Source organism: Homo sapiens, chromosome 16 (assembly GCF_000001405.40).
Source record: "Homo sapiens chromosome 16, GRCh38.p14 Primary Assembly".
Classification (NCBI taxonomy): Eukaryota; Metazoa; Chordata; class Mammalia; order Primates; family Hominidae; genus Homo; species Homo sapiens.
Window position 1 is genome coordinate 75521195 of NC_000016.10, and position 14931 is coordinate 75536125.

The following is a 14931-nucleotide window of genomic DNA, read 5'->3' on the forward strand; positions in this document are numbered from 1 at the left end:
TTAACAACTCACACCCCTAAACACACATACATTCCTAATCCCCTGATCCCTCTCCACTTTAATCTTTGGCACTTTCTAATATGCTAAATAATTTAGCCATTTATCAAACTTCTCATTCACTGGCTGTGTCCCACCATCAGAATGCAAGTTCCTACAGGGCAGGGGTTTTTGCTTTTTGTCTATCTTGGTCCTGCTCTATCTCCAGCTCCTCCAAAAGCCCGATGCCTGGTTGGTGCTCAACCCATAATGTGTGTTGAATGAATGAGTGGAGTTCATGAAGACTGGGATCAGAATAACACAAGACTTGCAGGACAGGCCAGGTTCTCTGGTCTTACCCCAAAGGGAGAAAATGTGATGCATGAGATCTTTCAGTAGAGGGCGTGGGGAGAACTGGCTACCTGAAAATACAAAGATAACCAGCCCTGGAGCTGGGCACAGTGGCTCACACCTGTAATCCCAGCACTTTGGGAGGCTGAGGCGGGCGGATCACCTGAGGTTGGGACTTCAAGACCAACCTAACCAACGTGGAGAAACCCCTTCTCTACTAAAAATACAAAATTAGCTGGGCATGGTGGCGAATGTCTGTAATCCCAGCTACTCAAGAGGCTGAGGCAGTAAAATCGCTTGAACCTGGGAGGCAGAGGTTGTATGAGCCAAGATCGTACCATTGCACTCCAGCCTAGGCAACAAGAGCGAAACTCTGTCTCAAAAAATAAAATTAAAAATAAATAAATAAAATAAAAACATAAAAATTACCTGGACATGGTGGTGGGTGCCTGTAATCCCAGCTGCTTGGGAGGCTGAGTCAGGAGAATCGTTTGAACCAGGGAGGTGGAGGTTGCAGTGAGCCGAAATTGTGCCGTTGCACTCCAGCCTGGGCAACAGAGCAAGACTGTCCAAAAAAAATTAAAAAGGCCGGGCGCAGTGCTTCATGCCTGTAATCCCAGCACTTTGGGAGGCCAAGGCGGGTGGATCACCTGAGGTTAGGAGTTTGAGACCAGCCTGACCAACGTGGTGAAACCCTGTCTCTACTAAAAATATAAAAATTAGCCAGGCGTGGTGGTGGGTGCTACCACCACCTATACATGGCTAAATCTATCATTTTCACTTTTGCATAGCTGATGGGTTAAAAATGTTACTTGATGTTGTTTTAACCTACGTTTCTTTAATTCCCTGGGCAGCTAAGCATCTTTTCATGCTTATTAATCAACAGCCTTCCTTTTTCTCCTTTTTATTATCATTATTATTATTATTATTTTTTGAGACGGAGTCTTGCTCTATCACCCAGGCTGGAGTGCAGTGGAGCAATATCGGCTCATTGCAACCTCTGCCTCCCGGGTTCAAGCAATTCTCCTGCCTCAGCTTCTGAAGTAGCTGGGGCTACAGGCGTGTGCCACTACACCCGGCTAATTTTTGTATTTTTAGTAGAGACGGGTTTTTGCCATGTTGGCCAGGCTGGTCTCAAACTCCTGACCTCAGGTGATCCACCCACCTCAGCCTCCCAAAGTGCTGGGATTACAGGCGTGAGCCACTGCGCCCGGCCTGGCCTTCTTTTTTCTTTGTTAAAGGGCTTTGCTCATTTTTCTGTTGACTTTCCGCTTCCTCTTGGTTTTGCTCTTATTTTTATGGCAAATGGTTTCTGCTAGCTTGTCATCTGTTTTTTAACCTACTTTATGGTATTTTCCCCCAATGCTTCTGTAAAAAAAAGTATTGAGACATAATTTATATAAAATATTTATATGTAAGGTATAAAATTAGATGTATAGACCTGTGAGATCAGATCACCACGTCACCACAAGCAAATTCCAAAAAGTTTTGTCCTATTTATTATATTTTGAAAGTGAATTCTTTCTTCACAGTTTGTGGATTTTGTGTCTTGTTCAAAAGATTGTGTCCTCTTCAAGACTACATAGTCTTCATATTTGCTTCTTTTTTTTTTTTGAGACAGAGTCTCACTCTATTGCCCAGGCTGGAGTGCAATGACACCATCTAGACTCACTGCAACCTCTGCCTCCCAGGTTCATGTGATTCTCCTGCCTCAGCCTCCCAAGTAGCTGGGATTACAGGCGTCTGCCACCACGCCCAGCTAATTTTTGTATTTTTAGTAGAGATGGGGGTTTCACCATGTTGGCCAGGCTGGTCTGGAACTCCTGACCTCGTGATCCACCCGCCTTGGCTTCCCAAAGTGCTGGGATTACAGGTGTGAGCCACCGTGCCCAGCCGCTTCTTCATTTTTTTTTTTTTTTTTTTGAGATGCAGTCTCCCTCTGTCACCCATGCTAGAGTGCAATGTCATGATCTCGGCTCACTGCAACCTCCACCTCCCAGGTTCATGTGATTCTCCTGCCTCAGTCTCCCAAGTAGCTGGGATTACAGATGCGCACCACCACGCCTGGTTAATTTTTTTTTATTTTTAGTAGAGCTGAGGTTTTGCCATGTTAGCCAGGTTGGTTTCAAACTCCTGGCCTCAAGTGATCCACCTGCCATGGCCTACCAAAGTCCTGGGATTACAGGAGTGAGCCACTGCACCTGCCTCTTTTTTTTTTTTTTTTTTTCGAGATGGAGTGTCGCTCTTCTTGCCCAGGCTAGAGTGCAGTGGCGCGATCTCAGCTCATGGCAACCTCCGCCTCCCAGGTTCAAGCGATTCTCCTGCCTCAGCCTCCCGAGTAGCTGGGATTACAGGCATGTGCCACCACGCTCGGCTTATTTTGTATCATCCTTTTTTCTTTCTTTCCTTCTTTTTTTTTTTTTTTTTTTTTAAATTAGAGATGATGTCTTGCTGTGTCGCACAGGTTGGAGTGTAGTGGGATGAATCACAGCTCACTGTAGCTCACTGCAGCCTCGAACTTCTAGGCTCAAGCAACACCCCCGCCTCAGCCTCCCAAGTAGCTAGGACTACAGCCGTGTACCACCATGCTTGACCAACTTTTAAAAATGTTTTGTAGACACAGGGTCTGCTTTGATGCAGGCTCAGAGCCCAGCCTGACAGTGCTATCCCACAAGATTCATTTGCCTGGCTGGTCTTGAACTCATGTCCTCAAGCAATCCTCCTGTCCCAGCCTCCCGAAGTGCTGGGATTACAGTTGTGTCACTGCCCCCGGCTTTGTTTTTTCTTAGGGCATAATTAAAACCTATAATTGCATGTTTAATCTGTTTGATTATTTGTTTAGTGTCTGCACCCCAGACAAGAGCAAGGGCTATGTGTACTCTGTCTCTTACTGTGTCCCTGGGGCCTGGTACTGGGCCTGACTCATTGAATCACTCAACTGGCTGCCCTCTTAAAATGGGAGGAATAATGCTTCCTAGGAATCAAGCCATGAGAAACTAATGTTAAGAAGTGGCCAACATTATCTGAACCATGTGTAACCAAGAGGAGAAGTGCCAAGAGCCCTGAGCACATACCCTGGGCTAGGTAATGGGAGCCCTTGTAAGTCTCTCTTCCATCTTACACGGTCTGATAGATGCTAGAAATTTGAACGTGTAGGATCAATTGCAAAGTCAAAACTTCTGCTGGCTCTTTGGGTTTCCAAAGGATGGAAATATGAAGTAGATGCTGTTCTCTAGTAGAGCATCTTAGTCAGATGCGGATATAGAAAGATCTCAGGGCCAGAAGGGTATACAAATGTAATGAGAATGAGGAGTCTGATTGGCATTGTCCAATATGGAGCCACTGGCCACGTGTGGCCACGGAACATGTGTGGCTGGTCCTAAAGTCTTCAACTTGGCCAGCAGTGCTGGGCTCAGCTGGTCTCGCTCGTATGTCTTTATAGCTACTCCTCTCAAGTGGTGGACTCAGTTTCCCCACCTCTGAATCTGGGTGAACCCTGGACTCACTTTGGCCAGTAGAAGATAGCAGAAGTGGCTGCGTGCTGATCAGCTGGGGCTCGTGAGGGGCTGGCTGGTCTAGGATGGCCTGGATTGGGACACCTGAACTCTCCTTCTCACGGTCCCTGCTTGTCCAGCAGGTTGGCCTGGGCTTTCTCCGTGGCAGAGGTAGAGGTCCAAAGCAAAGGAGCAGCACACAGGTTCTCTTCAGGTGGAGGAAAGCAGAGGCGTCATCCCAGATTATGCCTCTTTCACATAAAAATGATTTTCAGCTTAAGGCAATTAAGAAGCAGAAAATACAGGAAAAGTTCAGGTTTCCCTCCCCTTTCTGCCTAAAGGCACAATATAAACTCTCCTTCACTGGAGACAACCCTTAACTTTGCCCAGCCAGCGGCGGTACCAGAGGCACCGCAGAGAAATCCTGCTGCATCGGCTTCCTCTCAGATATTTACCTATGCACAGTTTCTCACCTTTGGAGGCCTAAAACTTTCTTTTTCCTGTTATTTCTCTACAAATTTATTGTGTCTTTTGGAATCTGCTGTGTAAGGCAGTGTTCTGAGCCACTGTGTTGTTACTTTTCATTTAGGTTTGTCCTGTGTGATATATGCTGCATGTATTAATGAACTGTTCTTGGGCAGGCACAGTGGCTCACACCTGTAATCCCAGCACTTCGGAAGGCTGAGCACAGGAGTTACAGATCAGCGTGGGCTACATACTGAAACACATGTAGCCCCCCAAAATACAAAAATTAGCCTGGCATAGTGATGTGCCTGTAGTCCCAGCTACTTGGGAGGTTAAGATGGGCGAATCTCTTGAGTCAGTGATGTGGGGGTTGCAGTGAGCCAAGATGGAACCACTGCACTCCAGCCTGGGCCACAAAGCAAGACACTATTTCAAAACAAACAAACAAACAAACAAACTTCTTGTCTGTGAATCTTTTTGTTAAGGAGCCTATTTTAGTCCCTTTTGTGCTGCTGTAACAGAATACCAGAGACCGGGTAATTGATAATTACAGGGATGAGCCACCATGTCTGGCCTGATATACCTCTTACTGAAGACACAGGGGGATATAAAGGTCAATGGCTTTGATGGAGTGTGGTGCCAGGGGCATAAGGGGAACAGAGTCCAGGCTGTGTGTGCATGTGAGTGTGCATGTGAGTGTGCATGTGAGTGTGCATGTGAGTGTGCATGTGAGTGTGCATGTGAGTGTGCATGTGTGTGTGTGGGGGGGTGCACGTGTGTGGCACATGTGGGATGTTCAGAAGCAATATCACCAGATTTTGCTCCCTGCTGGGCCCGGGGCACCCCTTTTCAGCTGCTTCAGGATGCATTCCAAGAGAGGAGAGTCTAGGGGAAAGAAAGAGTTTGGGTAGAGGCCAAGTCATCTGAACTGTTAATAGAAAAACATTAGACAAATTAAGCAGACTTTATTTGAGCAAAGAAAATTTATGAATCGGGCAGCACCCTGAACCAGTAAAGGTTCAAAGTGCTCCACCCAGAAACACTGGCAGGCCGAATTTTTTGGAAGTAACACAGAGAAACAGTCTGATGGGGTACAGCTCAGCATTTGCCTTATATGGACTTGGTCTGATCAGTTGGCAGCCTGTGACTGGTTAAAGCACAGCTGCTGTGACTTGCTGAGATTCAACTATTTGTTACAAGAATATAGTCTCAGTTGGGAGGCAGTTTACTTAAATATTAAGTTAGGTTGCAGTTCAACAGGTATGGCAGCAGCTTTGGGCCAAATTCTCTTTTTTTTTTTTTGGAGACGGAGTCTTGCTCTGTCACCAGGCTGGAGTGCAGTGCACGATCTCAGCTCACTGCAACCTCTGCCTCCTGGGTTCTAGTGATTCCTCTGCCTCAGCCTCCCGAGTAGCTGGGATTATAGGCATGTGCCACCATGCCCGGCTAATTTTTTGTATTTTAGTAGAGATGGGGTTTCACCATGTTGGCCAAGATGGTCTCGATCTCCTGACCTCATGATCCGCCCACCTTGGCCTCCCAAAGTGCTGGGAACTTTGGGCCAAATTTAATTGAATTTAAACATTTCTGCCTTTTGGTCAGCCTCTCAATTTTGAGAGATTGACCAAAACCTTGGGCCCTGACTCCATTTCCTGTCACCATCATAATGGACTTGTTTTGTTTCAGTATTGACTTCACAATTTCACCTTAGTTGAATGATTCTTTATGCTTTCTTCATGTTTTTGTTACTCTAACCCTAACAGACCAGTTGATTTATAAAGAATGGCTGCATAGGAGTATGTAAGACTTCCCAGGGGAGTCAACACATCAGAGAGACTATTATTATTATTATTTTATTATTATTATTATTTTTGAGAGGGAGTCTCGCTCTGTTACCCAGGCTGGAGTACAGTGGCGCAATCTTGGCTCACTGCAACCTCCACCTCCCAGGTTCAAGCGATTCTCCTGCCTCAACCTCTTGAGTGGCTGGGATTACAGGCATGCACAACCACACTGGCTAATTTTTGTATTTTAGTAGAGACAGGGTTTCACCATGTTGGCTAGACTGGTCTTGAACTCCTGACCTCAAGTGATCCACCCGCCTTGGCCTTCCAAAGTGCCGGGATTACAGGCTTGAGCCACTGTGCCTGGCCTATTATTGTTATTTAAGATGGAGTCTTGCTCTGTCACCCTGGCTGGAGTGCAGTGGTGCAATCTTGGCTCACTGCAACCTCCACCTCCTGGATTCAAGAGATTCTCCTGCCTCAACCTCCTGAGTAGCTGGGATTACAGGCATGCACAACCACACTGGCTATTTTTTGTATCTTTAACAGAGACAGGGTTTCACTATGTTGGCCAGGCTGGTCTCGAACTTCTGAGCTCAAGCGATCTGCCTGCCTTGGCCTCCTAAAGTGCTGGGATTACAGGCGTGAGTCACTGTGCCCGACCAGGGAGACTATTATGATGGCTATGAGTGGACAATGCCAAGAAACTGAAGTACACTCCTTATCAGGAGTTTCAACAAACAACTAGTCAAAATCAAATAACTCAAAGTCCATGCAATAAAGATAGTTCAATAGCATTTGAGTCCAATTGGTCAGTCTTTGTTCAGGGATGATGGTGATTAAAGGCCAAACCCTCCCCATTAAATGAGAGATCTACATTAGAGAGGTTTCAGAGACCTCCACCCAGCAACAGTGGGCAAGCAGCGTTTATAAACAGAAAAAGGAAGTGGCATTGGATATAGGCTGATTGGTTACAGCTCAACCTTTGTCTAATTTGGACACATCTGGTCAGTCTGCAGTCTGCCCCTGGCTGAAGGCTGGCTGCTATGATTGGAGAAGACTCCTTTCTTCTTACAAGAATATACTGCCTGGTCAAGTTGTAGTTTGTTTACATAATAAATAAGGTTACATCCCAGTCAAATCCTCCCTACAAAGTATCCCCTATTCTGACCTCTATCACCATAGACTAGTTTTTCTGCTTTAAATAAATGGAATCATGCAATTAAAGAAAAAAGAGAGAAAAAATGAGGTTACAGTTCACTAGATTGCAGGACTTTTGAACAAATTTATTACTTATTTTTTTGATAGAGTCTTGCTCTGCCACCCAAGCTAGGGTGCAGTGGCATGATCTCAGCTTACTGCAACCTCCACCTCTGGAGTCCAAGTGATTCTCCCACCTCAGCCTCCTAAGTAGCTGGGATTACAGGAGTGTGCCACCACGCCGGACTAATTTTTGCATTTTTAGTAGAGAGGGGGTTTCACTATGTTGGCCAGGCTGGTTTCGAACTCCTGACCTCAGGTGATCCACCCGCCTCAGCCTCTCAAAATGCTGGGATTACAGGCATGAGCCACCGCACCCGGCCTGGCACACATTTAATTTAATTTAGCAGTAACTTACTCCCTGCGCCCAGAAGAGGTAGGGGCAAGAGTTGCTTTCCATGAAGAGTGCACCTGATGAGAAGGCAGCTCCAGAAGACTCAAAGGAAAACCGAGAATCAGGAGAGAAAGAAACGTGCAGTCCTTGCCTACTTCAGGGGAGGACCCCAAACTCCCGGTTGATAGTAGGGACCTGCTTCCCCATGCGCCCCAGCTCCCTCTCCACCATGCAGTCGCCTCCTGGGCCTGGCGACCACAGTTCGGGGCCTGCTCTAAGGCCCAGAGTTCTCAGTCAGGCGATGCCCAGCTGAAGTGGTCTGGGCCTCGTGGCAGCACCAGATCCAGGGTGAGGTCACGCTGCTGGTCCGCAGAGTACACAGGCCGGTAGCCCAGCAGCTGCAGCGCGCCGGCGCACACCTCCTGCACGCGCAGGATCTTAGTGAAGGGCAACGCGTGGCGCCAGGCCTGGGAGACGTTGCGCGCATTCCTAGACGAAGTATGGAAGGCCTCGATTGGCTTGCCGATCCCCGACCCGTGGGTGATGTTGTGGATCCAGGCCTCGAGCTGTGGCGTGAGGGTCAGGCCGGTGAAGGCGTAGAGTGCGCGGATCTCTGCCAGCGGCTCCCGCGCCAGGTCCTCGAAGCGCACCAGGCGGTAGCGGCCGCGCAGGAAGGGTGGCGGCTTGAGTGTGGCGGCCTCGGCGATGCGCACGTGGCTGCGGCACACCTCGCGAATCAGGCGCAGGTGAGGGTCGGCCTCCACCCACTTGCCGTTGGTGCCCAGCACGATGCCGTTGTCGCGTGCCAGTATCGGGCCCGCCGCCTCCCGGGAGCGCAGCACGGCCCGCGGGTCGCGCACCAGGTGCACGATGCGCAGGTTGAGCGCGGGGTCGCTGAGCAGCGGGTAGAGCACCTGCAGGTTGAAGAAGCGCACCTCCTTGAGCACCACGTGGCTGTAGGAGCGGCAGGCCTCCCGGGCCAGGCTGAATGGCTGCCGCGTGCACAGTGTCTTGCATACGTCCTGCTTGCTGATGGTGCCTCGGGGAAAGGCGCTGCAGGCGGGCGGCGAGCACAGCGCGCGGCTCGTTGCCCAGTTGAAAAAGGCGGACAGGTTTCGGCTCTGTGGCATGTAGGCATCAAACACGTCCATGTCGCACAAAAAGATAGAGCGCATCAGGTCGCGCACGGCCATGTGCAGCGTTGCCGCGCTGCCCTGCGACAGGGTGGTCCACACATGCCACGCGGGCTCCATCAGGTAGAAGACGTCGGGGTGCTGGCTGAAGAGCTGGCCCAAGAAGGATGAGCCCGAGCGCCACGAGGACAGCACCAGCACGTGCACACGATCCTCGCCGCCGGCTGGGGATGAGGGCCCTGGCCGGGAGATGATGAAGAGCAGGAGGCAGGTGGTCTGTGCCAGGAGGAGCACTGTCACTGTCTTGCTGGAGAACCGTGGCAGCCACATGCGGGCGGCTGGGGGCCTTCGGGTGGAGTGGGCAACTTTAGGGACCCGGGCCCTCATGCCCATCCCATGCCCCAATTACTGCCCAGTGCCCTCAGGGATCAGCCCTCAGATTCGGCTACCCTACCCATTGGACTTCCCAAGACTCCCAAGGTCTCAGTCGAGCACTTTCCCAGGAATACGGAGTCAAGACATAGGCCAGAATATAGTCTGTGCTCACAGCAGAAGTCCAGTTGCAGAATAATGTGGGATATCATCAAACTGTCTACCTACCCACCCACCCACCTACTTACATACCTACAGGCTATCTATCTGTAGAGAGAAATACTATGTTTCAAAGAGAACTCCTGTCTTTTGCTTCAGGATACCTCTTAGAGAGACCCTTTTAGGTTGTGGAGCTAAAAGGGCTTGATGGGGGCTTCGGTGGATGTCAGAGCACCACCAGGCTCGCCGAGGTTGAATCCTGGCTCTGCCACTTCCTAGCCTATGATCTTGCTTATGAAGATCACTTAAATCTCTCTGTGACGGATCACTTTACCCGTGTGTGAAAGAGGGATAATTCCGGTACCTGGCTCACAGGATCTGGGGGGATTGGGGGGTTATTATAATGAAGATGGGGGAAGGGAACACGCAGTCATGCCCATAACTGAGGATTGCACCTTTTACAAGGTGTGCTTCTGTATTATATAATTTTTTTAACAGGCAGGTATAAAACTTTTGTCAGCCAGGCGCGGTGGCTCACGCCTGTAATCCCAGCATTATGGGAGGCCGAGGCGGGCGGATCACGAGGTCAGGAGATCGAGACCATCCTGGCTAACACAGTGAGACCCCATCTCTACTAAAAATACAAAAAATTAGCCAGGCGTGATGGTGGGCGCCTGTAGTCCCAGCTACTCGGGAGGCTGAGGCAGGAGAATGGCGTGAACCTGGGAGGCAGAGGTGGCAGTGAGCTGAGATTGCGCCACTGCACTGCAGCCTGAGTGAAGAGTGAGACTCCGTTTCAAAAAAAAAAAAAAAAACAACAAAAAAAAAACTTTTGTCATTAAAGATAAACAAGTAAATAAAGTGGACAAAGAACAGCAACTGTTGTCATCACTGGTGGGGAGTGAAGTGCTGTAGGCAGCATGGGCTCCAGAAGGAGGGTGTCCTGGAGCCCTGTGGGTTTGCAAGAAGATCAGTTGATGGGGAGCTGGGATGGAGCCCAAGAAGCAGAGAGGTGAGAGCAGAGTACTGTCCTGGCCAGCTGAGGGGACTCACCACCGTCCAGGGCTGCTGGGAGAGCTGCAACGCTGATCACAAATCCATGGGAGATGTCTCGACATCTGGCAAAGCAGGAAGGAGAGGAGATCAGAGCCCTACAGAGAGACAGCCCTGTACATAGAAAGCTCCCCAGGGTGGGAACAGAGCTGTCCTGCCTGCCTTTTGCTTCAGGATAACTCGTAGAGAGACCCTTTTGGGTTGTGGAGCTAAAGGGCTTGATGACGGTTTAGGCGGATGTCACACCACCACCAGGCTTGCTGAGGTTGAATAAGTCTGAGTAGGGCATTTCTCCAAATGGCTGGGAACTGGCGGGGTCTCCTGATGGATGGAAGCGAGAGAGCTGGCTCCAAATCCCAGCACTGCCAATGGGGAGCTATGAGACCTGGGGCAAGTGACTTAACTTCTCTGAGGCTCAATTTGCACCTCTGTAGAATGGGATTTGCAATATTTAACCTCTTAGAGCTGTTGTGATGGATGCTGCTGCAAACACCTATGAGGGGAGGGCCTGGGGAAGCATTCCTTACACACATGCCCCTGTTACTGTTACTGTCCCTGTGCTGAGCTACATCTGGAGAGAAAGAACCCCCTCCACCTGGTGAGTCTCCCCACAGAGGAGACACCCACAGGCCACCTACCCTTCCAATCCCTGTATCTCCCAGGCCATCCTCTGGCGTCCAACCACCCTGAGCCTTTAGTGGACCTTAAGAATGTCACGCATTTCTCACAGGGTGGAAGGAACACTGAGCCAGCCTCCCGCATTCCAAGGTCCTAAAGTGTTCTTCTGTTTGCACCTGTTGCATCTGCAATGATCTCAAGGCTGGGTGACTTTGGAAGGGAGGAGCCTGGAAGTTTTCTCCTTGCTCCTGCATCCTTTGCTCCTTGCCTGCCCCCTTCCCCTGTCCACACTGCCCACTGAGAGAAGCCAGGGTCTAACTTGTGAGCAGATCTCACCTCTGCTCCTTCGCCTCAATGCGGGGACAGGAGTGAGCGGAGGATGCCCAACACCTCTGTCACCTGCTGACTCCCGAGCTGCCTTCTGGATCCCCACACCCACTCCTGGAAAACCTGGAAGATGAGGAGAGTAGCCCCCCACCTCCGCTACAAGTGCAACTGTACTTTTTCCAGTGCTGGCTGATGGATGGTGAGCTCCCTTGCCAACAGAGTGCCAGAAAGGAAGGGAACTCATATTTGCTGACTTCAATGATCACAAGTGCTAGGTGCTTCGAGTCCACTGGATAACTTAACTCTGGGCCCTGAGGTGGGCATGATGATGTCAATTTTTCAGGTGAAAGACTCAAGGCTTAGAGAGACAGCAAGAAAGCTGGGACTCCAGGACTCCTGTTCCGAAGCTCCTGGCACTTCTGATCCCAGGCTGTGGGCCTCTCCCACCTGTGATTGCCCCCTGCAGAGTGCAGGACCCTGCTGCTCTGGCCCAAACACAGTTGTCCTGGCCAGCCCAGCCCTTCCCTGGGTAGGGAGGATCTTGATCCCAAGCTAAGGTGTTTGTTACCTGTGTTCCAGGAAAGCCAGAGGTCTTCTTAAGGTGGTTGAATCACTCTATGCCACACAGAGTCTCCAGAAGACCAGTTCCTCACTGGGAGCTTTCTGATAAGGAGACTTACATTCAGCACAGTGGACAATTGGCCAAGGGTGCAAAGTTAGGGAGAACCAGTCAGCCAGGCCCTGTGATATGCACTTTCATCTTCATGATTGAATGTTATCCTCCCAAGTCCCTTGGAGGTAGAAATAACCATCCCTATCTGTTTTAATTGAAGCAGTGGGGCTCAGAGACATTAATACCCAGTAAGAAAGAGGCAGGGCAGGGGCTTAAGTCCAAGAGCCAGACTCCCAGTGCAGGGCCCTGTGGTGGGTCACACTCCTAAGCCTTTGTCCAGTGAACTCTTCCATCCTGGAAGGACTGTCCCCTTCCCCTCTAAATTCTTCCGTTTTTTGATTCTTTTCTGGGGGCACATATTTATTACATGTTTAATTTTTAGAAAAATAATACAAACAGGTCACACGAAATTAAAAAAGTAGAGATGAGGGCATCGCAGACTTGGCCTCCCAAAGTGTTGGGATTACAGGCGTGAGCCATAGCGCCTGGCCAAAATGCAATTCTTGACTGCCTTGCCTCTGTGTAAAAGGAGAGAGAAAGGAAGTCAACATTTGCATTTGCTAGACATTGGACACAGTGGCTTACGCCCGTAATCCCAGCACTTTGGGAGGCCTAGGTGGGTGGTCACCAGACGCCAGGAGTTCAAGACCAGCCTGGCCAACAAGGCAAAACCTATCTCTACTAAAAATACAAAAATTAGGCCAGGTCTGGTGGCAGGTGCCTGTAATCTCAGCTACTTGGAGGCTGAGGCAGGAGAGTAGCTTGAACCCAGGAGACACAGGTTACAGTGGCCGAGATTGTGCCATTGCACTCTAGCCTGGGCAACAGGAGCAAAACTCCATATCAAAAAAAAAAAAAAAAAAAAAAAAATTAGGCCAGGTGCGGTGACTCATGCCTGTAATCCCAGTGTTTTGGGAGGCCAAGATGGGTAGATCACCTGAGGTCAGGAGTTCAAGACCAGCCTGGCCAACATGGTGAAACCCCATCGCTAAAATTAGCTGGGCAGAGTGGCTCATGCCTATAATCCCAGCTACTCGGGAGGCTGAGGCAGGAGAATCACTTGAACCCAGGAGGTGGAGATTACAGTGAGCCGAGATGGCACAATTGCACTCCAGGCTCTGTGACAGAGTGAGACCCCATCTGAAAAAACAAAAACAAAAACAAAAATTTGGGCCCAGTGCCATGGCTCACGCCTGTGATCCCAGCACTTTGGGAGCCTCAGCGGGGCGGATCACCTGAGGTCAGGAATTGGACAGCCTGGCCAACATGGTGAAACACCGTCTCTAGTAAAAATACAAAAATTAGCTGGGTGTGGTGGCGGGCGTCTGTAATCCCACCTACTCCAGAGGCTGAGGCAGGAAATCACCTGAGCCCAGGAGACAGGTTGCAGTGAGCCAAGATCAGGCCACTGCACTTCAGCCTGGGTGACAGAGCGAGACTCCGTCTCGAAACAAACAAACAAACAAACAAACAAAAAAACATTTCCTAGGCACCTGTACTGTCCTGGGGCCCAGAGGGCCTTTCCTAAAGCCTAACATCAAGGCCCTAGAGGCAGTGAGGCACGACTCCACTTCCCCTGAGTCTGGTTGCAAATTAACTCACCAAGCTATTTTTTCTCAAGAATTTCATGGAGAGCTTTTGAAAGCCACACCCTTTGAGACCCAAGTATGGAATAAGAACCCGCACCCCGACCCCTGCCCTGCGCAGTGAGGATTCCCGCGTGCAGCCGAAGCCCCAGCAAGACACTTCCAAACCAGCGCTAGCAGGGGAGATGAACTTTCCACGTTGCTGATGGAAAAGCCACCCCCAGCTCTTCCCGCCAACCCAGGTCTCTGGTGCAGGACAGAGGAGCGTCACAGCTGGGCCACTGGCCCGGCCCCCAGCCCAACCGAGTGTGGGGACACCTCCGGTGGAGAATGAAGAACCAAAGTACCTCAAAGCTTGGCGTGTCTGCCAGAGCTGGAGCAGCAGCCAGAGGGACGCCTCTCCCCCTGGGCTCAGCAAAAGCTCCCAGACGTCGTCTCTTCCAAGTTCCACCGCACAGCCAGCTCTTTCTCTTCACTGGGAGGTTCCGCAGGGGCTGACTTGCTCCTTAAGGTCCCAAGACTATTAAGGGACACCCAGTGAGGCTGGGAAAGGGGCTCTAAGAGGCATGGACGAAGAGTCGGGGGTAACCAAGCCACTGGAAGCTCCTGGAGACTCGAGGCAGAGCGAATCTGGGAACAGGGCAGGAGTCCCAGAATGGGATGTTGAGGATGGGGGTGTCCTGGGGCTACCACAGGGAAGGACCCGGCGCAGAGCTCCCTCCGGAGCCCGGCACTGCGGCCCGCGCCCTCTACTCCCCGCGCGCCGGCCAACAACCCTCGGCGCTGCCCCGCAATCTTCAGCGCTGCCTGGTGAGGAGCTTTCAGACGTGGCTGCGGTCCCAGGGTGGCCGGCGGGAGCCAGGGAAATGGGAGAAGGAAGGAAGGAGCAGGTTTTGCCCCCAGCTCCCTCTCCCCACCCCCGACCGAGGGGCCATGTCTCGGGGAGGGGCGCTGGCCGAGGGCAGAGCAGGAGGGCCCAGGTGGGCTGGGGCTCTAAGAGGCGCACCTTTTAGCCGGGGATGTCAAAGGACGCTGGCAGAGTCACTTCTCATCTAACTGACCACAAATGAACGTTGTAACCCTTCCTCACCCCCCCAATCGCCAGAGAACCTGGGAGCTCCTGGGAGGACAAAGGCCCTAGTGAAGGAAGTCGAATCTTAATCTTGGCCCTCCTCGCTCTTGGGGGCATCCTTGCAGCCAAGGGACTTGGAATCCAAACCCTTCCCAAGGCCCCAACCTCAGCCCTAAGCCAAGACCCAGGCACCTTGATGACACAGGAATCCGTGCTGCCTCCCGGTGCAGTGTCCCAGCTGGGAGGAGTTGAAAGACCAGGTGGCCTTAGGAGC

At 50.9% G+C, this 14931-nt stretch overlaps 1 protein-coding gene across 1 annotated transcript, besides 1 other annotated feature; it reads right to left on the reverse strand.

The window, feature by feature from the left end:
* Positions 415-464: a silencer, noted in NCBI's record as "silent region_7723". NCBI's record gives its function as "represses an Ori minimal core promoter by ATAC-STARR-seq in GM12878 lymphoblastoid cells {active_cell/tissue: GM12878}" and the evidence as "EXISTENCE:reporter gene assay evidence [ECO:0000049][PMID:35858748]".
* Positions 7336-14914, reverse strand: CHST5 (carbohydrate sulfotransferase 5). The gene is made up of 4 exons (NM_024533.5): positions 14850-14914; positions 13933-14215; positions 11895-11989; positions 7336-10446 (listed from the first exon to the last, which is right to left on the reverse strand). Exon 4 carries the CDS (start codon positions 9188-9190, stop codon positions 7955-7957), a length of 1236 nt encoding a protein of 411 aa, NP_078809.2. The 5' UTR covers positions 9191-10446; positions 11895-11989; positions 13933-14215; positions 14850-14914; the 3' UTR covers positions 7336-7954.